Consider the following 16,604-nt stretch of genomic DNA (forward strand, 5'->3'; position numbering starts at 1 on the left):
ATGATCCTGGAGGCTTCCCAGCTGACTTGCTGGAAAGTTAGCTGGGAAGGGTTGAAATCTCTCTTCAACTCATTCCCAACCATACTGCCAGAGGCATTCTTTTAAAGGAAAATCTGACCATCTTCCTTCCTTGAGGTTTTTAAGAGGTCTACAGAACTTACTCAATAAAGTCCAATCACTTTAGCACAGCTATAAGATCCTTCCCATCTTGTCCCCTGCTGGCTTCTTAGTGCCATCATCTGCCATTTTCCCCTTTCCTTTGTGCTCTGGCAGTACCAAGCTGGCCACTGTCTCTCATGGATTGCATATTGTTTCAGGCCTCCCTTCACTTTGTTGAGCCCTTTGCTTGGGCCTCCCTTCCTTCTCTTGCCCGTCTGTCAAATTCCCAGTGTCTGTCATAACCCTGATAGAGTACAACCTTCCTGGAATGCCTCAGACAGGATGGTATCCTTTGTTCTTTTTCTGAAACTCATATATGTCTAGACCACATTATATTATTTCACTCGTTAGCATGTCTGTCTTGCTCTTCTTGCTTATTGTAGAGAAATAGAATTGTCATGCTTAGCACATTGATATTTGGCTAAACTGTTCAATACCTGTCAGGGTGGAAACTGGAGACAGCCACCTGTTCCCTCAGGGGAAAATGGACAGACTAGCAAAGCTTTGCACTCACTTCTGCTTCACACCCATAAATCACATGCAAGGCAACCTTCCCTGCTCCTCTTGTCTCTCCACCACTGCCAGAACTTAGTCTGCCCAGGCATCATTCAAAAATGTCATGGGGAAGAGGGACCTAGGGATAGCCCTGGCCATGTATCTTTCTATTTTCCCCCCTCTAGTGGATGTCAGAGTGCCCTCTTGCTGGTGGGTTTCATCTCTCATTTAGAGAATCCTTCTTGCCTTCCACTGCCTGTGTGAGTAATAAACATCAAAATTACTTGTGGTCTCTGGCTTGAGTGTGATATGTTTTGACATTTAATGTTTTGAAAAGGTAGCGCCTGGCAGCAGGCTTCCTGCAACACTTCTGCTTCATTATGCTTAGGGCATCAGTACAAGAGCTTAAAATTTGTTGATGGTTGACTAAGTTAGTAGAGGCCCACTAGAAGAGCTGCCTGAATGAACTGAGCAGGCAAGAGTAAAAGTTTTGTTTATAAATGAGTGCTTAATGATTTTTTTAAAAAGAATTTGAAGTATTTTACTTAAAATCTTGATTGTACTCTGATTTTAGTTAATCAGCTCTTGATTCACATCCACCAAAAAAAAGCACAAAAGAGGATTCTGGGTCAGCCGTATTGGATTAATGGTGGCTCAGCTATTGAAGGCCTATGGTACACTTGGAAGTTCTCAGGTCATGACAGTCAGTGCAAATGCTAAGAAGAATGGGAGGCTGAAATCTTCTAGGAAAAGAGACCCTTCTCCCTGACTCTTTGGACTCTTTGGACCAGAGAACTGGTTTATTTGATCAAAGAACCTCAAGTGTAGATTAAAACCACTTAACCTCTTACTGTAGGTATCAGACAAAGAGCTATTCTAATAGCATTAGGAATTCTGGCTGTGCTGAGCCAGTTTATGGAATTTTTTGGAATTAATAGATTGCTTGAGGGGGCCTTTTCAGACAATAAAGAATAGGCTTCCTAATAAGAGAGAGTTATTAATAAATGGACTGAATGTCCACACTTATATTTATTTTTCTTTTTACCAGTGTGTATTTATTATCTGTTTTTATGTTTGATTCCCTACCTAGAGAGTTTCTTGAGAGTAGTGCCCCTGTTAATTTGTCACTGTATTGTAGAACTCATTACTTAATAAGTAAATCCTAGTCACCTCATTCTTTCTAGATTCTCAGCTTCATCTCCTCAACTTCGAAAGTGTGTTGGCTGGCTTTATCTATGCTCACTTCTTGCATATCACAGCCTGGAAACTTTTTATAACACTAAGATGTTGCAATCGGATGGCTTTCACCTTGTTTAGTGATTATTGTTCTTTATTTTCTGATGTCTTGTATCTTAAACACTGTTGTTTTATTTTTAAATTATTTTAGGCACAGACCAACTATGGTCCCTAGTGCTCAATCTTAGTTGGAAGCTGAAGTTCATAAATTGATGAAGACTTGTTTTGAAATAATTTCAGAGAACTGTCTGACCTTCATATAGAACAGTGTGTCAGGGTGGGAAGAATTTATGCTGTGAATCTTTAGATATGAGAAAATGAGATGATAAAGTTTCATGACTAAAATCATTAGGTATGATATGGTGGTAGTGGAAGTTAAATAATATAGGAGGTAAGAAACCTAAGAAAGACTACTGTTAGATTTATAAACTATAAATGTTTCCTGTCATATCCTATGTATATGGCAGTGAAATAGAAGACAAATTCCTTTTTTTAAATCAAACTTCATCCTAGTGAGGCAACAGGCAATATAACCAAAAAATACACAACATACGACTTGTGTTACATTATAGCCTTATGCTGTCCCTGTTATAGCACTTGTTTCATTATTTTGTAACTGGCAATGTATTCATCTCTTTCTCCAACCAGTTTGTAAACTTCTCTAGAGTCAGGACCAGGGTATCTTATTTAGTCTTTTATTCCCATTGTCTAGCAAACTACAGAGCATATAGTAGGTATCAGTGAATGAATAGGTAAACGGACAGTATGAATTTTTTGTATCAAAATTGATGGTCAAGGAAGTTATTTTGGATAAATGAGTCTTTTGGTTACTTTTAGCTAATTGCCCTGACATCTCTCAATTGAATGGCCAGTGCATTCATTCTCAACCCCCCACTGAGGGTGGTGTGTTATAATATGTTAAGTTCCATATATGTTTTCTAAAGTTCTAATAATAATCTTCTAGTGATGACTTTATTTTTCCAGTTCTTTTGGCTTCACATTTAAACAAGTGAACAGTTATTCACTTATTTGAATCCACTAAATTCAAAGAAGACAGAAGCTAATTATGTGTCTACTTGTGTATTATTCAGTACTTACTTCACAATATGGTCAATACAGCTATGTGGCAAAAAATGCTGAGGCAAAAAAGGACAGCAACTAATTGTGTACCATGTCCATGGCAGCAAGATCCTTGTATCTGTCCCTAGGATCTCGAATAATGTTGAGAAATGAATGAATAAATAGATGAATGAACAGTACCTCATGTATCCTTCTCAAGGCTAATTCACCATCAGTAAAATTAGTCTGAAAGGCAAGCTGGAAAAGAAAAGGTAAGCCATTCTCCATAGAAATATCTATATCTGATGAGGATGTTATTATTATGGTTTATAAAGAGAATTCCCATTTCCCAAGAGGTGTCCTCTAAAACTGCCTGTTCAGCAAAGTGGGTATTTTATAACCAAATGGATGGACTTGGGCTATTATAGAGAATGGGCAAGCAGGTTATTTTTAAAAAATATCTGTGGAATAAAATGTTTTAGCTCAGGCCAAGCTATTCAAGTCATGTTCAATACCTTAAATTCCAATCAAGTCTATAAAAGAGAGTTCGATTTGAAAACCTCTGCCAGAATTAGTTGTATTTTGAAGGTCCTTGTATGCAAACGATAAAATAGGACAAGAACACACAGGAGAAGAGAAGGAGAAAAGCCACATATAAGAGAAAATGTGGTAAGGTTATGTGTAAGTTATTAGGCTTTAATCTTATTTTATAATTAAGCATTTGGTGAAACATTTGATAAGACATCAAATGTAATTATGAAAAGGTAAAATAGCAGACTATAATCCATTAAGGATGCCTAAATCAGACTTGTTAAATTAGTTATTTCCAGAATCTGCTTATCTTGCATATGAGGATTTAAAAAAGCTGGGTGGTGGGCAGATTAGTAGATTCTAATAGTTTACCATGCAGGCTGTGATGATTAGTTTGCAGCTGCTGATAACAGCACAAAAATGTGCATTAAAGCTGTGAAATATTTCATGAAACTGCTACAACGTCATTCTCTGACATCAATCTGTAAATGCAGAAATTCACACTCAATCAGGTCTGCTAGCAATTTTTTTTCCACTGTAAATCCCTCATAATCTTTCTTTAGCTAAGTTAATCATTTCTGCACAAGCTGTGTGCAGTTAAGGCAATTACCCAAAGAATCTTGGCCTTAAAAAACACTTTGATCGCTGATGTTCATACTTCTAAATGAACACTTTATTTTTTTGTCTGAATAATCTACTATTAAGTTCCTATTTCATTTCTTTTTGTGAGGACAAGTTTTTCAATACCAAAATTATTATTTTTTGCATTCATTAATTAGAGATGTTTTGTTTAACTAGGAATTCTTTTAACAACTGGATTTAGAAAGGTTCCAATTGCACTGAAATTACATTTCAACTGTTACATTCAAAAGATCTACCTTAGATTATTACGGCTGCAAAATTCATAATTAGCACATGATAACAGATTTGAAATAATCAGTAAAGTTAAAATTTGAAATGGGGTAGAAGAAGCAGGGTGGCTCCTTCCTTCCTTCCCTCCCTCCCTCCCTTTCTTTCTTTTCCTTCCTCCCTTCTTCCCTTCCTCCCTTCCTCTCTTCCTCTCTTCCTTTCTTCTGACAGAATTTTGCCCTTTTGCCCATGCTAGAGTACAGTGGTGATCATAACTCATGGCAACTTCAAACTATTAGAACAAAGCAATCCCTCTGACTCACCCTCCCCAGTAACTAGGATTAAAGGCACATGCCATCATGCCTAGCTAATTTGTTTATTTTTATTTTTGTAGAGATGGGGATCTCTCTATGTTGCCCAGGTGGATCTGGAACTCCTGGCTTCAAATGATCCCCCCACTTCAGCGTCCCAAAGTCCTGGGATTACAGTCATGAGCCAATATGCCCAGCCGATTTTCTGAAGGACATTAAAGGAATTCCTGCACTTTGAAATAGGTGAGCACTATTTCAACAATCGTTCGAGCACGGGACCCTTTCAGGTCTGGAACGAGAAGTAAAGGAATGACAAGGAATTCCTTCTTCTTTCCTCTTTCATATCAAAACTTGGATTAAATGAAAAATATTAGCTGGGCTTGTAGAAACAGATGGATTTATTGGTCTTTATCATATTAATTAATCAGTATAGTAAAACTGCAATCAATTCAATAAACTTTTCAGTCATGTCCATGACTTGTTATATTTTGTTTCACTAAACTGACTCTTGGAATCCAAGATTCTTGTCTTTAAAGGAGTTTAGAGATAATCTCATCCAAATCTCCCATTTTACATATTGGGATATTAAATTTCAAAAAGATTAGTAATCTAACCTATAGTAAAAACCTGAGGGGTCTCATTACTTTTACTTTCAATTCAGTCAAAATTGAAATGGCATTGTTATAGCATATAGCAACTAGATTTTAGGCATATTAGAGCATATTTGTTTTTATATTTATCAGTCTTATTCTTTTCTGCCACCAGAGAATGTTTATTTCCAACAGCCCATGTGTAGCCTATATGGATACCAGTTAGCAATTTTCCACATCACATTTAATTATTAGGAATGAGAACCCTAGGTTTTGCCTCCTGGTTGGGCTATACCCAACACGTTGAAACAGAATGCCCAGGCTGAGTTCCCAGGCAAAGTTTACTTCTCACCACGGAAACCAATTTTCATGAACCCAGCTTTTAGGATCCAATTAAGCCCATCAGAATTAGACTGTATTTAAAGTCAATCTAGTTAATAGGTATGGCAGGATTTACCAAATCTACGTGATTATAAGACTCACCAGTGGCACTTGTTAGAGATACGGTTCTCTCCTGAAGATTGTGACTCTTTAGGTGTGTTTTAATATATTACGCAAGGTTGAGAAACACTAGAGTAGGAAATGTGAGCTAACTGAAACAAGGCAGACACAGTAGAGTGTATTGATAGCTGTTTCAAAGAAGGAAAAGTTTAAAAGGCAAGCTCTAAACAGAAGCAGATCAGACATAAAGGCAGAGGATCTTGGACTTACTGGACAGAGAAGACTTCAAAGTTGAGGTTGTTGAGTGACGTTAGTGGCTCTGAGGACAGGCTCACTGCTGTAGACTTTCTTATTTGGTGCTTCCTCTAGAATTGTCTAATCAGTTGAGTTTAATATGTCAAACGCAAAGTCCCTGTGGATCTTAATATGCCCAGTGCCCAGCACCATTGTCACTTGATACATAATGCTGAAATTAAAACGGATTCCATAAAGATGGTGAGGAAATCTTATGCAGAGGAATTCTTCCCATTACAAATGATTGAAAAGGGTTTTGTTGTTGTTGTTGTTGTCGTTACTTTGTTTTTGTTTTCTGGCTTAGATGGTAAATGTACAAATATCTCTTTAACAATGATAGGACAACTTCACTTCCTCAAGTGGTTTAGCCTCTGAATCTTGTGGAAAAGAAATGCCTTTTGGTGTGACAGGAGCTCTGTAAAGGTGTTCATGTTCTCAGATGATCCAGAGATTGCTATTAAATTATCATCATCATCACAGAATTTATCCTCTGAGGCCTTTTGTTTCCTGGTGCAAAGGTAAATTGTTTCACCTTCCTGTTCCTCAGTTTCTTCATTGTAATATACCAAGAATAATTGTACCTACCTCAAAGAATTCTTGTAAAAAATAAATTATTAATGTAAAGTGCTAAAAATAGTGTCTGGCAACAAGTTCTCAGTAAATTGTTAGCTATTATTATTATTATTATTGTCAGTTAAGAATGAGAGTAGCTAAGATACTATAGGGAAGAAAGAAAAAAATCATTGGACAATGGGGAAGATTGACAGAAATGGTGGCCCAAATTTATATTTTCCCTATTTCCATGCTCTCTGCAATGTGTCTGGGCAACTCCTCTTATCAAGAGATGAGTCTATTTTTCCAATTCTTAAATCTGGGCTGGCCATGTGACTTCCTTAGGCCAGTAAAATGCAGTGGAAGGGACAGTGCACCAGTTCCAAGCCTAATCTTCTGCAGGCCTTGAACAATTCCACTCTGTCTTTTGAGATTTTGCCTCTGTCTTGAGAAAAAGCCCAGGGTAACCTGCTAGAGAATAAGAGACCACATGAAGCAGAAATGAGACATTTCAGCTGAGGCCATTCTATAGCAGCCAAGACCAGAAAACGTGCCCTTCAGATTCCAGGTGAAATTGATCACCTACAGAATTGTGAGCTAAATAAGTGTTCATTACTTTTAAGTCTCTAAATTTTGGGGTGGCTGTTTAATGCAAAAATAGTTACCTGATACAAACTATAATTAAAAATAAGGAACAGGCATTAAGAAATAAATATTTGCTTTGCTCTGAGCCACCTATTATTAGCAGTTAACTAATCCTATAGAACATATTATCACATAATTTAAAATTTGAGGTAGACCTTAAAGATCTCTTGGTGGAAAATACTCAGTTTACAGGTGAAGAAACTAAGACCCAAAGAGGTTAAGCGATTTGTAAAAGATCATATAGATCATTGTAAACCTTGATTTACAAGGTGGTAGCAGAGTAATAAGAAAGGCAAACCATAGCAAATGAATATCAATTTTGGAAACATAGTAAAGAAAAATGCTCAGAAACTCTTCTCATAAGACAGAAGAGAATAACACGTGGAGAGCTTAAGAGAGCAGCTCTGCCTGAGTGGGGATTTTCCCATCATTAACAGTATTCATGCGCTTCTCAACTCTCTTCACCAAAAGATGCTCCATGTTTAAGACCTAGCCAGAGGCCACCGGCTGGAGGGACCACATTTCTTTGAAGTTTCTTAAAAATTCATATAGCCTACCACATAAAATACTATGTTTACATGAGTACATCCTTTTTCTTCTCCAAAATGTTATGACAAATTGATTCTGCAGAAAGATGGGTCCTATCTGTCCTGTGTGTTCAATTATTCCCTGGCATATGACCTTGAATACTAATGGAAAAGCACATTAGGTCAAGATGGTGGGGCAAAACAGTCACATGCTATGCACTGAGGACTCAGTAGTTAGGCCTCAGGTCTTCTCTGTGGGTTCCTCATTGTGAGTCCTCCCTCCCTCACTCACTTTACAAATGTTTACTGAGTGTCTTCTATGTACTGGACAGTGTTCAGGCACTAGAGATACAGCAGCAAGTGAAACAAAAATTCCTGCTCTCAAAGAATGTATTAGTTTCCAATTGCTGCTGTAACAAATTACCACACATTTAAGTGGCTCAAAACAACACAAATTTATTATCTTATAGTTCTGGAGTTCAGAAGTCTAAAATAGTTTCAGGCTTCCCTTTCTTCACCCCATCTAGCCCTTTGCTTGGACCTCCTTTCCTTCCCTTGTCCATCTGGCAAATTCCCAGCATCTGTCACAACAAACTCTTTCTGAAGCCCCTGGGGGATAAGATGTTCCCTTGCTGGTTCCAGTTTCTAGAGGCTGCTTATAGTCCTTGGCTTGTGGCACCCTCCTCCCTCTGTTAAATCAGCAGCACAGCATCTTCTCTCCTCTCTGATTTCTGCTTCCATCTCTACACCTTCTCTCTTTGACTGATCCTCCTGCTTTCCTCTTATAAGGACTCTTGTGATTATATTGAGTACATCCAGATAATCCAGGATAATTTCCTCACCTCAGAATTCTCACTTTAATCACTTATGCAAAGTTTTATTTTATCACGTAAGGTAACATAATCGCAGGTTTTGGACATTAGGATGTGGACTGATTTGGGGCCCCATTATTCTACCTACCAAAGGAGGTTATATTTTAGTAAAGCTTATTTTTCTTTTCTTTCTTTCTTTTTTTTTTTTTTTTTGAGTTGGAGTCTCTCTCTGTCACCCAGGCTGAAGTACAGTGGCGTGTTCATGGCTCACTGCAACCTCGCCCTCCCAGATTCAAGTGTTTCTCCTGCCTCAGCCTCCCCAGTAGCTGAGACTACAGGCACACGCCACTGCACTGGGCTAATTTTTGTATTTTTAGTAGAGAAGAGGTTTTGTCATGTTGGCCAGTCTTGTCTTGAACACCGGACCTCAGGTGATCCACCTGCCTTGGCCTCCCGAAGTGCTGGGAATACAGGTGTAAGCCACTGCACCTGGCCATAAAGCTCATCTGTACAGGATAAAGTTGAAGTTCTTGAATATGACTCAAATGAATTTCTGTGATGTTCTTTCTTGCTAGCCCTATCTCTAGTAATTCCCTGCTACAAATACATAGTTCAGCAATCCTGACCTTCTTCTATTACCCTCCCCACCTCAGAGCACCTCTGCTATTCTCACCCTTTTGATTTCCAGCTGTCTGCCAGGACATACACCCCCATTCCCCTTCCCTACATCTCTACACCCTTTGTCTGGCAAAATATTCAGCAAGGGCATCACCTTGTATAAGAAATGGGGCCTCTCCCATTTACTCTCAAAAGATCTGTGCCTGCCTCTACCACCAACTTCATCACACTATATAGATCTGTTTAGGTGTTGCCTGTCTTGCTCCATTAGTTAAAAAGCTATTTGAGAGCAGGGAAGGTGTCGTTCATTTTTCTAGCCCCATCACTTAACATAGTACCTGGCACAAAGTAAGGGTTTAAGAAATGTTAAGTGAACATGTGAGTATCACTGAAATTGTTTATCAGTTAATTAGGAGAGGAAGAAGCAGGGGAAGAGAAGGGGAAAGAGTTTTTATCTTGAGTTGTTAAGAAAGTTTAGTAAAGAGTGGATCTCTGCTGGGTGTGGAGAAGGAACAGCAGACAAGGGGAAGACGAGATGAGATATACATGACTTTCAGGCAGTGAGGATAATGAGCCTGAGGCGCTGAAGCCTCAGGGCCGCATTTCTCAGCAGGGTTGCTTTTGATGTGTGCCTGCTTTGATCCCTGCTGTGTAGCTATGGCCCAGGATGCTCTGGAATGAAGAAAATCTACTTATTGTGTCCTGTTCTCGGGATCCGTGGCGTGTGAGAGAAGAAACACTAGGGGAAAGGAGTGGTTTCCTGGTGGCAAAATAAAATCATTTCCCAAAGGTAAATAGTCTTTCCAACATGGTGGAGCACTGAAGCAGAAGAGAATATGCAGAGAGAGGACATGATAATGTAAGGTAGAGAGACACAGAACGCAACTTAAAAGCTGAGATAAGATCAAATAGACAAATGCAGAAGGGCTGCATCCCACGGGAGAGGGGAGCAAACTGTTCTGTTCATGGGAGCAACAGGACACTGGGCCATAGGTGGAGAGAATTTTTCTGCCTCTTGGACAAAATATGAGAACACAGGAAGTGACACTTCAAATGCCCCTACACCAAGGAACAGGGCAACACAGGTGGGCAGATCATGACTGGCAGAGAAACACAGAAGTAAGGAGAAACACAGAAACACACTGCTACCCCTCCCTGTATGGGAGGTCAAGGGGAACTTCCCATTGTGTAGTTTAGTTTTAGAAGCATAAATTCTGTCACTAATTCTGTTCAAGTTAAATCAACCTTATTAAATGTAACTGGGGTATGAATTCAGTTATTCTCAAAAACTCCTTTTAGAAATAGTTTTCATTTTAGAAATGTTAAATGTGTACACTAGTCAGGTCCTGTTGACCATCGCAGACTAACCTAGTGTAAGTGTATTGCTATGTTAATCTGCCCAGGTTGTCAGAAAGAAAGAGGAGAATGTCATGAACTCTCAAAGAAAGGGAACATGTGGAACATGCTTTGGAGAATTATTGTTTGAAAGAAAATCAAACACTCCAATGCCACACATATTAAGCAGTTTAAAGAACAAACAACTGGGGTGGTCCCTGAGCAAATACTTGATGGGACTTTATTTGAAAAAGAAGCATTTTTTAGAATATGCTATATTTTATGGTTAATTGTCTTAACCCTATATCCCAGTATTCAAAGGGGTATGTAAGTGGAAGTGAAAATCACTATAGTTCTCCTACAAAAGTCTAAATTACATGTTTTAACCCATGGCAAGAACCAAGGCAAGACCCTTGTCTATTTTAATCAACGTTAGTATAGTTCCTGCCCATCATGAACACTCAAAAACAGTTGATAAGCTGGGTGTGATGGCTCATGTTTGTAATCCCATCGCTTTGAGAGGCTGAAACAGCAGGATCACTTGAGGCCAGGAGTGGACAATATAGCAAGACTCCATCTCTATGAAAAATAAAACAACAATTAATCAGGCGTGGTGGTGTGTACCTGTGGTCCCAGTGACTACAGAGGCTGAGGCAGGAGGGTCACTTAAGCCTAGGAGTTGGAGGCTGTAATGAGCTATAATTGTACCACTGCACTGCAGCCTAGGCAACAGTGTGAGACCCTGTCTCTCTTAAAAAAAAATGATAGAATGAACATAAGGGATGAGAAGCTGAGGCATTGAGTTTGTAAAATTTGTGCTTATGAATGGGGATAATAACTAGGATAAAAGTCATGATTTCCCAAAGATGTGTGAGCCATTGAGGCTAGATTTTCTGTAGTTTAATCATAGGAGAAAGTTAATAATATTCATACCTGCATTTTTATTGCATGTCCATTGTATGCTAAATATTGAGCTGGATAACTTAGCTATATTGTTTCTAATCCTCAGAATAAAGTCCCATAGTGTTATCCTGGTTTTACAAATGGGGAAATAGGTTATGAAAAGTTAAACAACTTTTCCAAAGTTACATAGGTAGTAAGTGGCAGAATGGTGACTCAAACCTAGATCTGACTGCTACATAATTACTTTTTACTCATACTACAGTATCACAAACAGTGTCTCTGTTTTTAAAAGCTTTATTCCTTGTCATAAAATTAGTACATATTCATGATTATAAATTTGGAAAATATAGAAATATTTAGGAAAAACAAATCAACCATGATACCTCCACTGTTTTGTAAACATATGGTACTACAATTGATTCTCATTATTTGTAGAAGTTATGTTCTATAAAGTCACTGCAAATACTGAATTAGTGAATACTGAACTTTTGCTCCTAGCCGATACACAAGATTAGGCTACTGTAAGCCCAACATTTTTATCAATGAATCAATACATTACCTTATTTTATATTTATTTCTATTATAAAGACACATTATTTTATGTATATTGCTGATTCATTAACATCGAATGCACAGCCAACAGCACTATAACTCAGACCTGAATGAAGTTTATCTAACATATACGTTTTCTCTGTTAGTAAGGCACATTGGCCTTGTCCTCAGGGACTCTAGACAGTATCTCAGAACCAGACTTTGTGGCCATTTCAGACAGTGATATGGGCAACAAAAAGCAGAAAAATGTGGCACTAAACACACCTCAAAAAGGACACTTGTTTACAGTAGAAGAGCTGAAACAAGATGGTAGAATATCACCTTGTTTGACTTTGATAAGAAATGTGTATGTTGGGTGACTCAAATATTACACCACTCTGGGTATGTCTTTGAATAGCCATGAAAGTGCTGCAAGTACTGATTTGGGGGTTACAAATCCATTTTAGCAAGTAGGTGAATTTGCAAATATAGAATTATGAATAATGAGGATTGACTGTTTCCTTCTGAGGAGTCAAAAATCTGATTGATTTTATCAAAATCAAGAAACTATGGAAGAGGACTTTTCAGAAACATTGTCAAAGCTTTCTTATGTACAGACTTTGGCGCCACAGGCCTGACACAAACCCAGTCTTCCATTTATTTCATTTAACATCTTTTGAGTAACTTCTAAGTATATGTTAATGTAGGAGCCAAGGGAAAATATCTACCTTGTGAAGGTTCACTGAAAAATCACATGACAAAAGCCAGCTTGGAGAAAGCATATAAATCTATTAGCATGCACACGGGGAGAGTCACAGAGTGATGAAATTCAGAAGCTCATATACTGTCTGGAGGATACAGAAAAAATAGGGGCTCAGAGCATGGCCCAAAACAGATGATGGTGGTTAAATCAGGTTATATTGGCAAGACATGTTATGGGAGAGAGAAGAGAAGAGGAGGCCTGGCTAGCAAAGATGGTCTTGTTAGATAAATGAAACCTCACAGGTAGTAACCCTCAAAGAGAATAGATGGTAAATGTTTCTTTCAGACCTTTAAAGGGTTCTGACTCTCAGTTAATCTTTCCTAGATCTGGACAAGAGAAGGCCTGCCTGCATCAATGCAGATTCTCTACAGATGTAAATCTCCTCCACAAAAGACAGCTTGGTAGAGCTACTTCTGTTTACAGGATTTCTAAACAGCTATCTCAAAATATGTCAAGGAAATATATTTTGGAGTGAAATAGTTTGATTTACTTCACTAGGTACTGTGATAGGTATTGGAGTTAATAAAAATGAACAAGAAAGTTCTTACTCTCCAGAAACTCATGGTTTGATGGAAGAAGCCAGGCATATAAACAAAATATTTTAACAAAATGTGGTAAGTTCAGTAATGGACACAGATACAGGGTCTTTTGGGAGCACACACAGGAGGAGATCCACTTAGTAGGGTAGGTGGTGCCTCAGCTGAGTACTAAGAAATTAGTCTGATTTAGTCAGGTGAAGGGTGGCAGAGATTGGTGACTATTACTGTGGATACTATGCAATAACATAGTAGATGTTAAAGTCTAATAAATTTGATTCAGAAGTCTTTGGAAACTACAGGTAAGATAATTAATTACCAATTCTTCTAACCTATATCTTCCAGATATCACAGATTTTATTGTATCTCTTCTAGCCTAACCTGCAATGTCTGCATCATCATAGTATGAGGAATACATGTAACATGCCTTAAGTATTTTGTTAGATAGGTAAAGAATCTTGTCTCCTTGTAGCATGTACCAAGGTAACCGTACTTATGTTAGTTTTCCACGTAGATGGTAGGCTCACTTCAAGGCAGAGTGCTTTGTTTAAAAGTCTGCAAATAGAAACCATTGTCTACTACATGACAAAGAGCTAGCAGTTGAATATATCTAGCTCAGCCTCTGCTTCCTCAGAGAATTATAGGTAGTTTATTCTAATCAATTTTGAGGAAAATTGTATACAGGTTCCCTTAAGAGTATATTTTATGATTCCAAAGGAAGTTTATACAAAATCTGAATTGCTCTTTTAAACTTTCTTTTTTTTATATCTTGTTATACTTAGAAGCAAAGATTAGATGGGGAGAGATAATTATCTTTTCTGTTTGTTTTTTTTTTGTTTTTGTTTTTTAAGACAGTGTCTCACTCTGTTGCCCAGGCTGGAGTGCAGTGGTGCAATCATGGCTCACTGCAACCTCAAGCTCCCTGGGCTCAGTGATCCTCCCATTTCAGCCTCCCAAGTAGGTGGGATTTCAGGCCTACACCACTGGGCTACTTTTTGTATGTTTTGTAGAGATGGGGTTTCACCATGTTGCACAGGCTGGTCTTGAACTCCTGGGTTCAAGCAATCTGCTTGTCTCGGTCTCCCAAAGTGCTGGGACTACAGGCATTAGCCACCATGCTTGGCCTTATCGTCCATTTTTAATGTAAGGGCAGTCTCATATATTTTTCTTTTCTAGGTGGTTTTTGTGTGTTTTTATTTTCAAAAAGTAATATTGTACATGATTGCAATTAAAATAATACCAAGGATATACACATTAAGAAATAAGACCCTTTTATAGCTCCAAAATTCAGCAACCACTATTTATCAATTTCTTATAACTATCTAACAGTAATATTCTATGCAGGTATTAACATATACATCTATAGCTAAATTTTAAAGGATGTCAGAATGAAAAGAGATGGATAAGTTTTCTAGGAAGACAGTTCCTTCATACTCTATTTTCTCTAAAAGGGCAATGATATGTTCACAACTTTTAAATTTTCTGGGCACAAAAGCAATAAATGGTCTAGAGATATTTCTGTTTTAATTTCAAGGAAAAGGGCACTATTATCAATTGAAGGCATACTGTATGCACATTCTGTACTAGGCACTTTATACATGTCATTTGAGAACTCTCAAACATTTAATGAAGAAAATATTATCCCCATATTTTAAATAAAAAGCCTGCATCTCAGAAAGTTTAAGTAACATTTTAAAGGTTTCACACAGCTGGTAAGTAATGAGTCCCAAGAACGCAGTTCTGTGTGATCCCCAAAATCCGTGCTCATTCCATATATATTCCAGATGCTGTGCATTATGTTTGATATTTTGATTATTAATATAGACAGTCGATATTAGCTTAGTGGTTAAAAGATTTCTATCAGAGATCTGTACCTGTAAATTCACCTTTTTAAAATTTGTGAATAACATCACTTTGTATTTGACATTATAAAGCTATATTTAGTAGAGCCAAATCCATTTTAAGAAGAAATTTCCATAAACTAAAAAGAGCTGCATCAGAGGAGGCCTGCAGATGGCACTGCTGCCTGAGAGTCACTTAAAAAAATGCATAAAGAATTACTTTAGAAATTATCCAATGCTGATTCCAAAAGTTAAATTTCAACCAATATTTGAGTAATTTATAATTTGTGTAATTCCTTCCAGTTTATGGTTGATGTTGAAATTTAATTTTCACTTTAATGAATGAGTAGAGTAATGCTTAGTAGCATTTCTATCCAGTAAAAGGTAGACTATAAGCCTGTGTGGATGGGACACATGAAGATCCATTAAGTTGGAGAAAAGAAAGAGATTCCGATTCTTTGCTTGGGCATAAGGTGCTGCCTGACAGATCAGATTACTGAGCAATCAGAAGACAGATGGAGACTGCTAAGATCTAAAGATGAATGCAGGAATTTCCGAGTTATAAATCAGAAACCTAATGAAAACACATGAATACAAAAGTCTGAGACATTGTATGTAATAAACAAAAATGGCAGGTCTTTTATCACTGTATTTTTAGTGTTACCATGAAATTTTTTTTTTTTTTTTTTTGAGATGGAGTTTTGCTCTTGTTGCCCAGGCTGGAGTGCAATCGTGTGATGTTGGCTCACCGCAACCTCTGCCTCCCGGGTTCAAGCAATTCTCCTGCCTCAGCCTCCCAAGTAGCTGGGATTATAGGCATGTGCCACCACACCCGGCTAATTTTGATTTTTTAGTTGAGACAGGGTTTCTCCATGTTGGTCAGGCTGGTCTCGAACTCCCTATCTCAGGTGATCCGCCCGCCTCGGCCTCCCAAAGTGCTGGGATTACAGCATGAGCCACCACGCCTGGCCTCATGAATTTTTAAGGAAAGTTATTGCAAATCTTTAACCCTAGCTAATCATATAAGCTTTAGAAGACAAAAAGGTACTTTTTCTTGAGTAGTTAAGAGATATAAAGTTCTGGAGATAGACTACTCCAAGATTTTCATAGGATCATATCTGGATGATAAGATTATAAGTGATTTAAACTTTCATTTCCAAATCATCTATATATATTTTTAAATATGAAATAATCAATAAATATTAAATTTTAAGATAACCAAAACCACTGTTCTCATTCCTTCTGTCTCTTACATATTAACACAAAACCTTTTTTTTTTTTTTTTTTTTTTTTAGTTTTAATGCTAGGGGTCCCTAGTAGTGAATGTGGGGTGTTCTGCACAGATTCTTTCAGAGTTGAGTCATTTATTCCTCCAGCTGTCAGGAATATTGGCTACATTCCTCTTTAGGAACTGTGCTTGGCTAAAGGGAACTACGTTACCAAGCTTACATCTCTTCCCCAGGATCAGCCCATATCCATTGACTGGTTTATATGAAGGTAAAAGACCCAGCCCCATTTCTTAATTTGGGACAATTCTGAAAAGTCATCACAGCTCCAGGACCCCCCATGGGATCAA

General features: G+C 37.9%; 2 annotated features.

The window, feature by feature from the left end:
* Nucleotides 3,821-5,020: an enhancer, noted in NCBI's record as "CDK7 strongly-dependent group 2 enhancer chr1:68924860-68926059 (GRCh37/hg19 assembly coordinates)". NCBI's record gives its function as "activates an origin of replication core promoter dependent on BRD2, BRD4, P300/CBP, MED14 and CDK7 cofactors, with strong dependence on CDK7, by STARR-seq in HCT116 cells {active_cell/tissue: HCT116}" and the evidence as "EXISTENCE:reporter gene assay evidence [ECO:0000049][PMID:35650434]".
* Nucleotides 9,487-10,122: an enhancer, noted in NCBI's record as "OCT4-NANOG hESC enhancer chr1:68930526-68931161 (GRCh37/hg19 assembly coordinates)". NCBI's record gives its function as "activates a minimal SCP1, AML or CMV promoter by ChIP-STARR-seq in naive H9 embryonic stem cells {active_cell/tissue: H9 hESC(naive)}" and the evidence as "EXISTENCE:reporter gene assay evidence [ECO:0000049][PMID:30033119]".

Source organism: Homo sapiens, chromosome 1 (genome assembly GCF_000001405.40).
Source record: "Homo sapiens chromosome 1, GRCh38.p14 Primary Assembly".
Lineage (NCBI taxonomy): Eukaryota > Metazoa > Chordata > Mammalia > Primates > Hominidae > Homo > Homo sapiens.